Here is a 13132-nt window from a genome sequence, read left to right as displayed (position 1 = left end):
TTGCAGTGAGCCGAGATCGCACCACTGCACTCCAGCCTGGCAACAGAGTGAGACTCTGTCTCAAAAAAAAAAAAAAAAAAAAAAAAAAAAGGACATCAGTCATATCGGATTAGGGCCCAGCCATATGACCTAATTTTGCCTTAGTTACCCATTTAAAGGCCCTGTCTCCCAAAACAGTCACATTCTGAGGTGTGGAGAGGTTGTTGAGGGGATATAATTCAGCCCATAACAGAGAGCTTTATAATAAATCTACTGACAGATGATGGAGGTTGTGAATCAAGGCAGTGGGGATGGGGAGAAAGATTGAATCCCAGAAATATTAAAGAACCAGAAATCAAAGGACAGGGGAATTCATGAGACATGGTGAATGAGCAAAAGTAAAGCAGAGTTTCGAGCAAAGAGTAGCACTCAAATATTTTTGTTGCCATCCCTTTGCTGTTTCCCGAGTCTAGAATAGAATCATGTAACACAAATTCATGCTCATAATGCAGTGTTTGATTGAATTCATTTCTGGGATAGATGCATGAACAACACAATTATTAAATATTTCCTGGCTGGGTGTGGTGACTTATGCCTCTAATCCCAGAACTTTGGAAGGCGGAGGTGGGAGGACCACTTGAACCTAGGAGTTCGAGACCAGCCTGAGGAACATAGTGAGACCTGTCTCTACTAAAAATGCAAAAAATTAACTGGGTGTGGTGGCACGCACCTGCAGTCCCAGCTACTTGGGAAACTGAGGTGGGAGGATCACCTGAGCCCAGGAGGTTGAGGCTGCAGTGAGCCATGATCATGCCACTGCACTCCACCCTAGGTGACGGAGTGAGACTGTCTCAAAAAAAAAAAAAAAAAAAACACGTTTCCTATTTGCCAATATGTCCACTAATTTTTATATTGGGATGATTGACTAATCTCTGCATCATCTCTCTCCACTCTTGGAAAGAGATGTTGAGCATTATGGGAGTGCTCATCTGTGCCAGATTAACGCTGCTCCATTGGTCTCCAAGGAGAAAAAAGGCTTGGTGAAGAGTCTCTGACTTGGAAGCAATGCCTTGAACAGACCTGGCTCCCTTGGGGGCTGTGGTTTTCAGGCCCTAGTCCCTGTCTTCAATCTAAGAATTAGTCAAAATGCAGCCAATAACTTTTGGAAGTGGAACTCCTAGGCAAGTTTTGATAGTATTAAAAAATCACTGGGTGGGTTAGACAAATGGAAATGTAGCCATAGGACATTTTGAGCAGCAGCCTTCAGTTTTACATGTTCTACAAAACAAAAAGAAACTTTTGGTATTGCCAGAGTCAGGACCAAAGACCCACAGGTCAACATACCCTCCAAGCACCAGCCTTTGGGCTCTCTTTCTGGCCTCCTTTGGCCTGGGCACCTAGAATATCAACAGCTGGACCGCCATGGTATGAAGGGGGTATACTGGTAACACTCTAAAAATCTGCCAGAACTACCACAAGCTAGGACCTATCTTTGCTGAAGTGTGCAGAATTCTTGTTGATACAAGTGTTCTTTCAGTTAAAAGCCATAAATTCCTTCTGGTTTAACTAAGGAAGAAAAAATCAGTTGGGAGAACTTGGTTCTTTTCCTTTTTGTCTCCTGAGGATTGATGTATTGCTCAGCCTTTTGGCCTGTCCAACAAGTAAGGAAGGATGCTGGCCAAAGTGCAACCATTGTCTGTCATCTTTGACTCTTTGGAGTCTGTAATCTTCCATGGTTTCTTCCTCTCAGCTTACACTTGAAGTCTACTTCCTTCCAAAGATTTTCCCTTAACCAGTCATCTCATAGCACTTAATATTTTGCCTCATTGTAGAGCTGGAGGCTTGCCCTGAACTCCCTGTTCAAGTACTATCTCCTTGAAAGGCAGAAAGGAATTCCTCTGTGATCTCCCATGGCTCCTAGCACTTACCTTGATAATGGCAGACTGCACTGAACTGGTCCTGAATCGGATGCAGCATCTCTGCTCCAGCTGGGCCTGGTCTTAAAAACTACCCCCGGTACATGCAATGCTCAAAAATTACAAACGTGCTCTAGAGTTGACATCTTTTCTCCTTCAATCTAATTTAAATTTATCCCATAACAATTTAAGTCCATATCATACATTGTTTGCAAAAATGTCCAAAAATCATTCTCTTCCTTGCATCCATGCCCCTTTGCGATATGGTTTCCTAGCTCATCTCATCAAAGATAATTCTCCACCCCTTGAATGTGGGCTGACCATGATATCAGTTTTGATCAATACATCGAAGCAGGGGTGATGTGCCATTCCAAAGCCTAGGCCAGAAGAGGCCTTGTGATTTTTCTGTTATCTCTCTCTCAGAAATCTGCCCACTACCTACCATGTAAACAAGCTTAAGCTAGACTGCTAGATAGTGAGGGACCACACAGCCAAGTCAACCCTGTAACCCCTGTGGCCTCAGCCAACAGCCAGTTAATCCTCAGAAGCAGGGGTCCTTAGCTGGCCTGTAGCTGACCATGGGATGCATGAAAGCACCCAGGAGACCAGAAGAATGTGCAGCTGATCCACCCAAGGTTGCTGATTTGCAGAATCATGAGCTAAATAAATAGCTGCTGTTTTAAGCCACTAAGTTATAGGGTTGTTTGTTCTGCAGCAATGGTTAACTAACACACCATCCGAAATGTTCAGATATTTGAAGAATGTAAGAAACTTCCAGTCAATTCACAAGGCTTCTCAAATTTGTGCTTTGGTGCTCTAAACTCATAGCAATAAGAGAAAATAGAAAATAAAAAATAGTATCGCTAGCTCATGGATAAACATCTCTACAAACCAGAAATCTCCCGTGTTCCAAGATAAAAACAGGAGGGAGTCAGTGGGAGTTTAGTCTCTGCAAAGTAAAGGGAATTAAAGAGTTCCACCTGAGGCAGAGTATAAACGCCAATTACCACTTGAAGCCAAAGGTTTTGGGAGTGGATAACATCCCCACCTCGCCAGCTCGTGAAAAGAAGACTTAAAAATAATTGTCAAGTATTATCACTCCAGGCATTCTCCCCCACCTGACTGCTAAAACCAAAGATCAGTTCTCAGTCCTCATTTTACTGAGCAGAATTTGATAGTCGATCCTCTCAGATTTTCTGCTTTTCTGCATGGGGATACATAACGCTTTCCTGGTTTCCCTGCTACCTCACAAGCCCCTTTTCTCAGTTTCCGTTTTAATGGTTCTTCCTTTTCATTCCAAACTCTTAATGTTGGAGGACACGTGGATTCAATTCTCAGTTCTTTATCCATATGCACTCCTTTGGTGATCTTATCTATGCTCATGGCTTTAAATATTATCCACTTCCTACTTCCAATTTAAATCTTCAACTCAGACCTCTCTCTAAGCTCCAGGCCTCCTTTTTTTTTTTTTTTTTTTTTTTTAAGAGGAAGATATGAAACACAAACAGGCTGAAATGAAATAATACTGTATAAATATGAAAATACACGATTTGAAATCTTTGAAATCAAAATTATAGTTATTTAGAAGTTCAATAGAACAAATTCTAGACTCACAGCAGTTACACAGGGAATTAATGAATTGGAAAAGAGTTCTGAGGAATTATCCTTACATAGCCAAAGATACAGGGAGATTTAAAAATATGAAACAACATAAGGAACATAATTTGAATAGCTACAATAAATGTTGAATAGGATTTCTGAAGAAGAAAATAAGGAAGAACAGTATTTGAAGAGACAAGTAGTAGAGACTTCCATGATTGAAAAATGAGAGAAGTCCTTTGACTAAAGGAGCACTCTGGGGACTTAAGTTGAATAAATAAAGAAAACCCACACCTACCAGACACACTGAAGTAAGACTGCAAGGCATCAACATGAAAGCGCTGAGAAATCTCCAGAGAGAATTACATTGTTTATAAGGAAGTCATAATTGCACTGACAACAGATTTCTGATCACAAGTAACAGAGTTGAAAACTCTACTAAAAGAAATATTATAGGATGTTATTTACTAGGAAGAACAGTGAGTCCAAGGCATGAAATATAAGAAATAATGATGCATGTAGAAAGTGGTAACATTTAATTTGTTAATTAATTATTAAATTAATCAAATTACTTTAATTAATTATTGACCATAAGGACATACATATTGACGACGTTTAATAACTTTTTTGTAATTAAAAGATGGTAAAATTAAAGCTCTCCATAACAATAAGATTGGGGGAAAGGAGCATCATGTTCAATCTCTGAGGCATATGTGATATTAAAGAGGACAGAAACTGAATAACTCTAGCCTTTGTTAGAAAAGTTTACGATTAAATGTACATGTTTTAAAAATTAGGGGGAATTGGCTGGGTGCAGTGGCTCACACCTGTAATCCCAGCACTCTGGGAGGCCGAGGCGAGCAGCTCATCTGAGGTCAGGAGTTCGAGACCAGCCTGACCAGCATGGAGAAACCCTGTCTCCACTAAAAAATACAAAAATTAGCGGTGCATGGTGGTGGGCGCCTGTAATCCCAGCTACTTGGGAGGCTGAGGCAGGAGAATCGCTTGAACCTGGGAGGCGGAGGTTGCAGTGAGCTGAGATCGCGCCATTGCACCCCAGCCTGGGCAACAGAGCAAGACTCCATCTCATTTAAAAAAAAAAAAAACGGTGGGGGAGAGATTTATATTTATTAAAATACTATATATGGAAACTTTATTAACTCAGTGGAAGACAGAAAAAGAGAAATTTACAAAGCAAGAAAAAATTATGGTAAGGAGAAAACCCAAAATAAGAAGGCATAAGTTCAAATAAAATAAATATAAGGAGATTATATTGATCTTCTAAAAATAGTATCAATTTGTTTTTTAAAAACGTCCAGGTATATGTGCTTCTTATAAGACATCCAATGAAAAAACCAAAGAGAAAGACTGAATGTAAAAAAATTTAAAAAAGGGGTCCCATGAAAATAATAATGAAGAACCTGGTATATCAATATTTATATCAGGCTAAATATAATTTAAGGCAAAAGCCTCTATATAATAATAGAAGCAGCAATCCACCAAGACTTAATATTCATGAACTTGTGTGCAGCTAATAGCATAACTCTGAAAACCACAAAGCCAAAGCTGAGAGAATTAGGAGAAATCTCCAAACCTCCAATCGTAGTGTAGATTACCGAGATAAAGTAAAATGAAAGTTTAGCAAGAACTGAAAAGGTTTAAGCAACAACAAATCTACCAGATATACAGCAAAAAGTCCTTATACCCAACAGTAGATTCAAATACATTTTTACATAATCTTACCTCCTGTTAAAATCACAAAAGAAGTCTCCACAAGAGTGAAAGGACTGTCATAGAGACCATTGTTTTTTTGACTACAGTGCAATGAAATTTGAAATCAACAATGAAAAGAAGTTAAAAATAATAATTACAACATATTTGGAAACTAGTAAAAAATACCTTCTAAAACATGGATTAAAGAGGAATCTACAATAGAAATGATAAAATATTTAGAAGTAAATGACAATGAAAGTTTCTCCTATCACAACCTGCGAGAGCTGGTCCAGAAAACAAAACAAAACGCTGTTAAGAATATTTTTGAGGTAACGAACCAAATTTGAACAAGATCTGTAGATTAGATAATAGTATTATATTACATTTCCTGATTTTGGTAATTCTACTTTGTAGTAACAGAATGTCTTTGTTCTTAGAAAATATACACAAAATATTTAGGGATAAATATTTTGAAACTTATTCTGAAATGGATCAGATGATGATGATGATTTGAAACTTATTTCTGAAACTTATTCTGAAAGGTATCAGATGATGATGACGATGATGATGATGATGATGATGATGATGATGATGATGATGATGATGGTGATCATATCCAGAGAGAAGCAAAGTGAATGTGGTAAGTTATCCCAAAATGGTGAATCTGGGTGAAGGGTATATAGGAGTTTTTCTTATACTATTTTTGTAGCTTTTTATAAGTTTGAAATTACTTCAAAATTAAAAGTTTAAAAACCTGCAAGATGCATTTAGCGCTAAAAGATTTTATTTTAAAATCTAAATAGTTCTGACCTTTAAAAAGATAGTGATTTACCAGTCATAATTTCCCTTCTGAAGGTTCACTGTCTCACTGATTAAACAAAATCTGTTGTGTGAGAAAACTGTATGTTCTGCAAATTAGCAGAGTTGACCACGATACCTGTTGTATATAAAACAGCATCTTACAGTTGCCAGCACCATTCATTAGCAATTGCCTTGGGGATAAACAGGCCAGGGACTAAAGAGTGATGTCACACAATTGTTTTAAATAAATGAACCAAAAAGACAACTTGTGCCACATTCCAACTAGGTCATAAAAGCATATTTAAGGAGCTTCAGTCCTGGGATTTCTCTAAGCCTATTATAATACTCTGTTTTGACTTTTCTCTCCATGTGCCATAATTCAAAACAGAGACACTCAATCTCCTTTTAAATGTTTCCTGAGAAATCTGCCTCTTGACTTCATAAGAGTGCTAAAGTGACAACACATTACTAAGAGATTGTTTCCAGGCGCTCAGCATTATGTAGAAAGACTCTGTGATGGAGGATGAGAGCAGACATAGGGACAAACATTTTGGGATCACCAAAGAGGAAGAATGAGGGTGGAGGGAGAAACAGAGAGATGAGAAAATAGACAGAGGATCAACACGTGGTTTCGAGAAGAGCTTTAAGGACAGGTTCAGAAAAATCTACTAGTCCCAGTGTGTTCACAAGATCTCTCTGTTGCCAGACAAACCTTTTTGAGTTTGGAGAGAATTTTGGACTGGGGGCCTTGGGAGGGTTGCATGGTAGGGAATAATTGCTGGAGATGGAAGAAGAGAACATGGATTCTAGATGCGTGATGTCCCCGCTTTCCCAGCAGACAATGGTGGGCATAGTGGGATAGGCCAGGTGGATTGTTTGAGGACTTTACTCATTTTGCAGCAGATTCCCTTTGGGGGCCTCCTCTGGGATGCCACTCTCCCAGGCCCACCAAATTTAGTCTTGGTCCTTTGTTACCTGGCAAAGATACAGCAACATTTGGGGGTCAATGGGACTCACAGCTTATTGACAGCCAGAAGACTAAGCAAATTATGCCACTTTTAGAAGATAGCAAAGTTTAGGTTTTTAATGAATTGTCCGTCTCTTCATTTATGTTAGTCTATTTTAATTAAGATTACTTCGGAAGACAGAACAAAGGACTCATCCTAGAAGTACATATTTCATTGCTGGCTAGTATAGAGGCTCAGGAGTTACCTGCAATTTTCTTCTGCCTGTACTCTTTGGGGAGATGGCCATGCTATGAGGGTTCCAGTCCTGGTTCCTATTTAACCTGACCAAACTCCTCTTGTCACCACTTCCTACAGAAAATCTTTCCAGACTGGGTGGATCAAGTCGAGAATCCCTAATCTACCAGACATCAGGGCCATAACCTCTTTCTCTCTCTCTCTTTTTCTTTCTTTCCTTCTTTCCTGAGACAGAGCCTCACTCTGTCGCCCAGGCCGGAGTGCAGCGGCACAATCTCGGCTAACTGCAAGCTCGCCTCCCAGGTTCATGCCATTCTCCTGCCTCAGCCTCCCGAGTGGCTGGGACTACAGGCGCCCGCCACCATGCCCTGCTAATTTTTTTGTATTTTTAGTAGAGACGAGGTTTCACCGTGTTAGCCAGAATGATCTCGATCTCCTGACCTCGTGATCTGCCTGCCTCAGCCTCCCAAAGTGCTGGGATTACAGGCGTGAACCACCGTGCTCAGCCACCATAACCTCTTTCTAACCACTATTCCCCCACATTTATTAGCTTTGAAGGAAAAAGAAGAAAAATTTGGACTGGATGAAAATAAATATCTCATAAAACAATCAGTGGGGATTTTGGTAGAATTTTTGGAGCATTAGAGGATTAGTGCTGAAAGCAGCAGTGTTTAAACTTTTTCTATTAGCTCAAACTTTATACAGATGCCCAAAATGCAAAATAATAATAATACCAAGGGTTTCACCGAATGGTATTTGAATACCTCCAACTTAGAAAAATGAGGTCCAGAGAAATGGAGAACCACACCCCAGGCGTGCCAGCTAGTTGGTGACAGCTGTGGAACCACAGCCCTTTGCCCTTAGAAGCATTTACTCATTGTCTGGAAATCACTGCATCATTAAAAAAGAATGGCAGGGACTGGTTTCTGTCCCCAGTAATTTTCACTGTAAGAAAGACACTGTGAGAGTCAGTGCACACACAAAACTGTTTTTCAAGCTCTCCAAAAATTGGCAGCCAGGCCAAAATGTTTGGTGGAATTTATGTGAATATTCAACAGACTATGCCTCCAGGAATTGGTACTGACTTCTCCCCTAACCCCAACCTGAGGTACGGGCCATGGAGACAGTGCAAGGAAGCAAACACAAGGCAGAGATGCAGAGTGTATGTATTCTGAGGGACCCGTGGATGGATCTCACAATAGTGCCAGCTTTCTCCGCTCTGGACGAGATGTAAATTAGGCCTCCCATCACAAATGCTTAGTTTGGCACTACTTTTGTTTGTTTGTCTTCCAGGGAGAATAGAGAGAATGGGTTGGAGAACACTATTTCACATAATAACATGATTATACTTCTATACTATTTTTAAACTTTGCAAAGTTCACCCACGTACTGCACATTAAAAATGTTTCACCAGAACTCTGTGAGTGCATAAGAGTAGTATTATCCTTTTCCTGCAAACAAAGAAAGTGAGGACAGAGCAGTCAGGTGGTTTGTCCAGAGCCACCGCATCAGTTGGTGACAGATGGGATGATCAGTCAGTAACTGAGGGAGGAGCACATCGTTTTATTCCCATCAGACTCTAGACTGGATTCAGATTCTGCTTTTTGGCCAACATGGCCTTAGACCCAAACAGAGGGACTGGTCCAATTTGGAGGAATAAAACAGAAAAGATACTCCAATGGTGCATGGGCCAGAAAGGAAATTGCACAGCAAGGTGACTATAATTAATAATAATGTATACTTCAAAATTGCTAAAAGAATGGATTTGAATGTTTTCACCACAAGGAACTGATAAGTATGTGAGGTGATGGATATGTTAAGAGCCTGATATGATCATTTCATAATATATACATGGATCCAAACATCACATTGTATGCTATAAATATATACAATGATTATTTGTCATTTTAAGATAAAAAAATTTGAAAAATTACAGAAAGATGGTAACAGGTATCACGGAATTGCTTCTGACGTGTGTGTTCTTCAGAACTGTTTATAGAACATTTATATCCAAATACAGATTTGAATTTGGTGGGTAAGTTCTAGCACCATAATTTACACAATCTCTGGAACCTATTTGCTGGTTGAAACTGCGCTTTTTTATGAAAAATTTTAAGGCCGTTTATTTCACCCCTGACGTAAGGCTGAGCAACGTTTTAAATGAAGAGTGGACTTTGAAAGAAACATTCGTGAGAGTGCCAAAGCGAGCTCCAGGAATGAGAGGACTAATTTGGCAGCTGTCAGGACAGATCAGCTCATAGAATGAGAAGTGGGTTGAAGGAGGAGCTCTGCCTGCAAGGACAAAGCTGGGCATGTAGGTCCGATTTTTCCAGCTGCCTCTCTTCTGGGGAGCCACCCCAAAAACCCTGTGTGCCTTGCCACCTCACCTGATGGAAGTAGAATGCTACCTCTGGCACAAGGGCCATTTCTATTTTCATGGCATTAGCGGGGCCTGAAACATCCATGCTCAGAAGCTGTCAAATAACACCAGTTTTTTTTCAGCAGCTTGTCTGAGCACTCCTGGAATTCCTTTAAAATACAGAAGGATGAGTAATCCTGGTTCTCATTTCTGCAGAGAGGGCTGGGAAAGGCCCAGGCACAACCTGCCAATGTTGCAAAATTCGTAAAGCAAATCAAGTGAACAAACCTCTCCTTTTCAGATCAAAACCTGTTAAGGATTGAGGTGTCTTTTTGGCAACCCAGGGGTTATTCATATGCCTGTTTCAACTGCTCCAGTAGCTTCAGGAAATAGCAAGGTGGAGCAGCCCACAAGAAAGCCAGCATCATCCTCAAAGGATGCTCACCGCTACGAAAGAAGCAACTTGGCTAAAAACGCTTTTCAAGTAAGGAATCATTTCCCCCTCAAAGAGAGTTTCTGATCACCCCAGAAAATGATCGTGGGAACTTCTGAGTCATAGAATAAACATGAATATCAAAGAATAAGTTTACATATTTTGGGAACATGGAACACTTTCTTTTTCTAAGCCTCTGACAGCATTCCTGAGAAGTGCATCTGCCTTGAGTTCAGGGAACTGAAAATCTGTCCTTGGTTTGGCAGCTGACTAGCTCATTGACCTTGGGTTAATCATTTAACTTGGGATCGGCAATTCATAGTCAAAACCATGATTATTGTGATCCAAGAGAAGTCAGCCTGCCTGGGCATGGGGACCCAAAGGTTATAATTTTAAGGATTTCTTCCTTGGGAGTGGAGGCAAAATGCTGATAGTAATAGAGTGGCCCAGATTCAAATGCCTGAACGGTGAGTTTTACCAGGGCCCCCACGCCATTCAGTAAGCTCTCTGGGATTTTCAGTGGGCCTGGGGAGGTATAACTCACTTTGGCTCAGAGCTCTGAAAGCAGAACTTGGGTGGTTTATTAGAATATACAATGGAAGAGTTGGATGAGACCTGAGTAATGATGTTTTTGTTCACCGCTTGTCTCATCAGAGCAATCTTCTGGACACATAAATTTAATGTTCTCATCCTCTGCTTAAAACAGCCTTCCACTGTTCCAAAATAAAAGCCAAAGTCTTCAAAACTGTGTGCACATGTGATCCAGCCCCTGCCTACCTCTTTATATCTTGGTTTTCCTCGTCCCCTTTAATCCAGCCACAAGGACTTTACTCCAGTTCCTCCAATGAACTAACTCTTTGTATCCTGGGCACTCTCTAACCCCTCTTCACTTTTTTTTTTTTTTTTTTTTGAGACAGAGTCTCACTCTGTCGCCTAGGCTGGAGTGCAGTGGTGCGATCTTGGCTCACCGAAACCTCCGCCTCCTGGGTTCAAGCAGTTCTCCTGCCTCAGCCTCCCAAGTAGCTGGGATTACAGGCACCCTGCCACCACACCCAGCTAATTTTTCTGTATTTTTAGTAGACATGATGTTTCACCATGTTGGCCAGGATGGTTTCGAACTCTTGACCTCAAGTGATCCATCTGCCTCGGCCTCCCAAAGTGCTAAGATTACAGGTGTGAGCCACTGCACCTGGCCCCCTCTGTACTTTTTAATTTTTATTCTTCTTTCAACGCTCAGCTCAAATGTCACTTCCCCTAAGAAGCGTTCCCTGAGGCTTCCCCTCCCCATACACGTTAGATCAGATAAAGCTCTTGTAATATTCTTGTAGAACATCCTATTCTTTTGCTTCAGGGCCTTTATCACAATTGATAATTATATACTTACTTTTACTTATTGAATTAATTCCCAGTCTCTCTCAGTAGATTACATGCAGTGTCTGTTTCACTTGCCATTGTATCTCTAATGCCTACTACAAGTGCCTGGCATGTAGCAGACACAACTGCTTGTGAATGAATGAATGGTCTCAGTGATTCTGTAAGGATGAAGGTGATGTAGAGTAGTAGATGGCAGCTCTACTCTGGAAGTCCAGAATACTGCTCTGATTCACACCTGCAAGCCTTATTGGTCAATGACTACTGATATTCCAGCCACCCAAACAACTGCTTTCGGAGAAGCATTAATACCTGCGAATAAAACAAATCTATTCGTTTCATACATTTGGTTCAGAACACTAGGAGAATTTGAGAAGAGACGAGCCAGCCCCAAGCTGTCCTTGTTTCTTTTATTAAGAATAGGCCATGATTTGAGCACATTCTACTACTTGCCTCACTTCAGCCTATTGATGGGGGAAAAGTGAGAGTCTGTGTGTGGGGACTCTGGCTTGGCAGTGAGATCTAACACAGAAAGATCCTGAAGAAATATGCTGACAATGGGGTTTTATCTCTTCAATGCACTGGAGACAAAATCCCTGCTTTTAAAAACAACACTCATACAGAGCCAAGGATGTCCCAGAGTGAACAGTCCTAACCCTTTCTCAGCCTGCCTAAGAGCTCGTTGGTTTCAGAAGGATGAGCCAAGGACTGCTACTTAGAGACTACTGTCTAGGTCAACCCAACTGGCATAAGTAAAGCACCTACTGTTTATAGTAGGAGGCTGCAAGATAACAGGAGATGCAGACTATTGAAGGCTACTGATCTATCTGTGTAGACAGGCAAGAATAAAACAACTGGAGAAGAAATCCAGGATTACACAAAAAGAAGAGCGTGATGGTATGGTAGACTACTCCAGAACAGTGAATTTCCCCTGCATTAAGGATGAGATCCCTATGAATTGGGATCATTCAGGAAGTCTTCTTGGAGAAGAAAAGTTTGAGCATATGGGGAAAAAAAGTTGGATTGGCAAAGAGCTGAGCTGTCAGTAGCTGGGTCCTTAGTAAGTAGGCTGCATGGAGCTGGGAGTTATGCTAAAGGAGTTGTAATTTGGGATGCCTCTAATTAACCATTTTGGGAAAAATATAATAAATCCCTTTGTAGCATCTATAATAAACTGCCCAATATCTATGTGGTGGGGAAAAAGTTTTATTCTACGTTTCACGTGGATGGTGATAACACTAGGTAATCTCAGCATCTTTCTTATTCTCTTGCTAATCCAGGATTCTAAGTAATAATCACTTTGTTCTACAACCTGAATCTAGCCCTTGTACTGTGCAGTTTTTTTCTACACTTATTTTTCCTGTTGTCTGAATCAATCTCCATGGAAGCATAAGTTTTACTGAGTTTCAACCAGCTGTGTCCACCGAGGTAAAGATGGTAAAAATAAAAGGCACAGGGCATATATACCACAGCAGCAGTTACTTCCCACAAGGAACCAGAGATTGGAAGTGAAGCTAAAACATTTTCAGCTACGATAGCATCTCTTTCAAGGTGAGCCATTTCCCCAGGGAGAGTTTCCAGCTCTTAGCAAAGGCAGAACAATAAAACATCAAGGATGTCTTTCTAAGGCTGCAAACAGAATAGCCAATACCTTGAAGCTGATCTGCTTCAGAGTCCTTTAAAAGCCAGGACAGCAACAAAGTGCCCACATTACATTTTCTACAAGCTTGCTAAGCATCTCTTTTCCTAAACCACAAAA

General features: G+C 40.6%; 1 long non-coding RNA gene across 1 annotated transcript in view; it reads right to left on the bottom strand.

The window, feature by feature from the left end:
- LINC03033 (long intergenic non-protein coding RNA 3033) overlaps positions 1-13132 on the bottom strand; it is an 84174-nt gene that overhangs the window by 70653 nt on the left and 389 nt on the right. The gene's annotated exons all lie outside the window — the stretch shown is intronic.

The sequence above is a fragment of the Homo sapiens genome, chromosome 14 (genome assembly GCF_000001405.40).
Source record: "Homo sapiens chromosome 14, GRCh38.p14 Primary Assembly".
Classification (NCBI taxonomy): Eukaryota; Metazoa; Chordata; class Mammalia; order Primates; family Hominidae; genus Homo; species Homo sapiens.
This window is presented reverse-complemented; position numbering and strand designations above follow the sequence as displayed.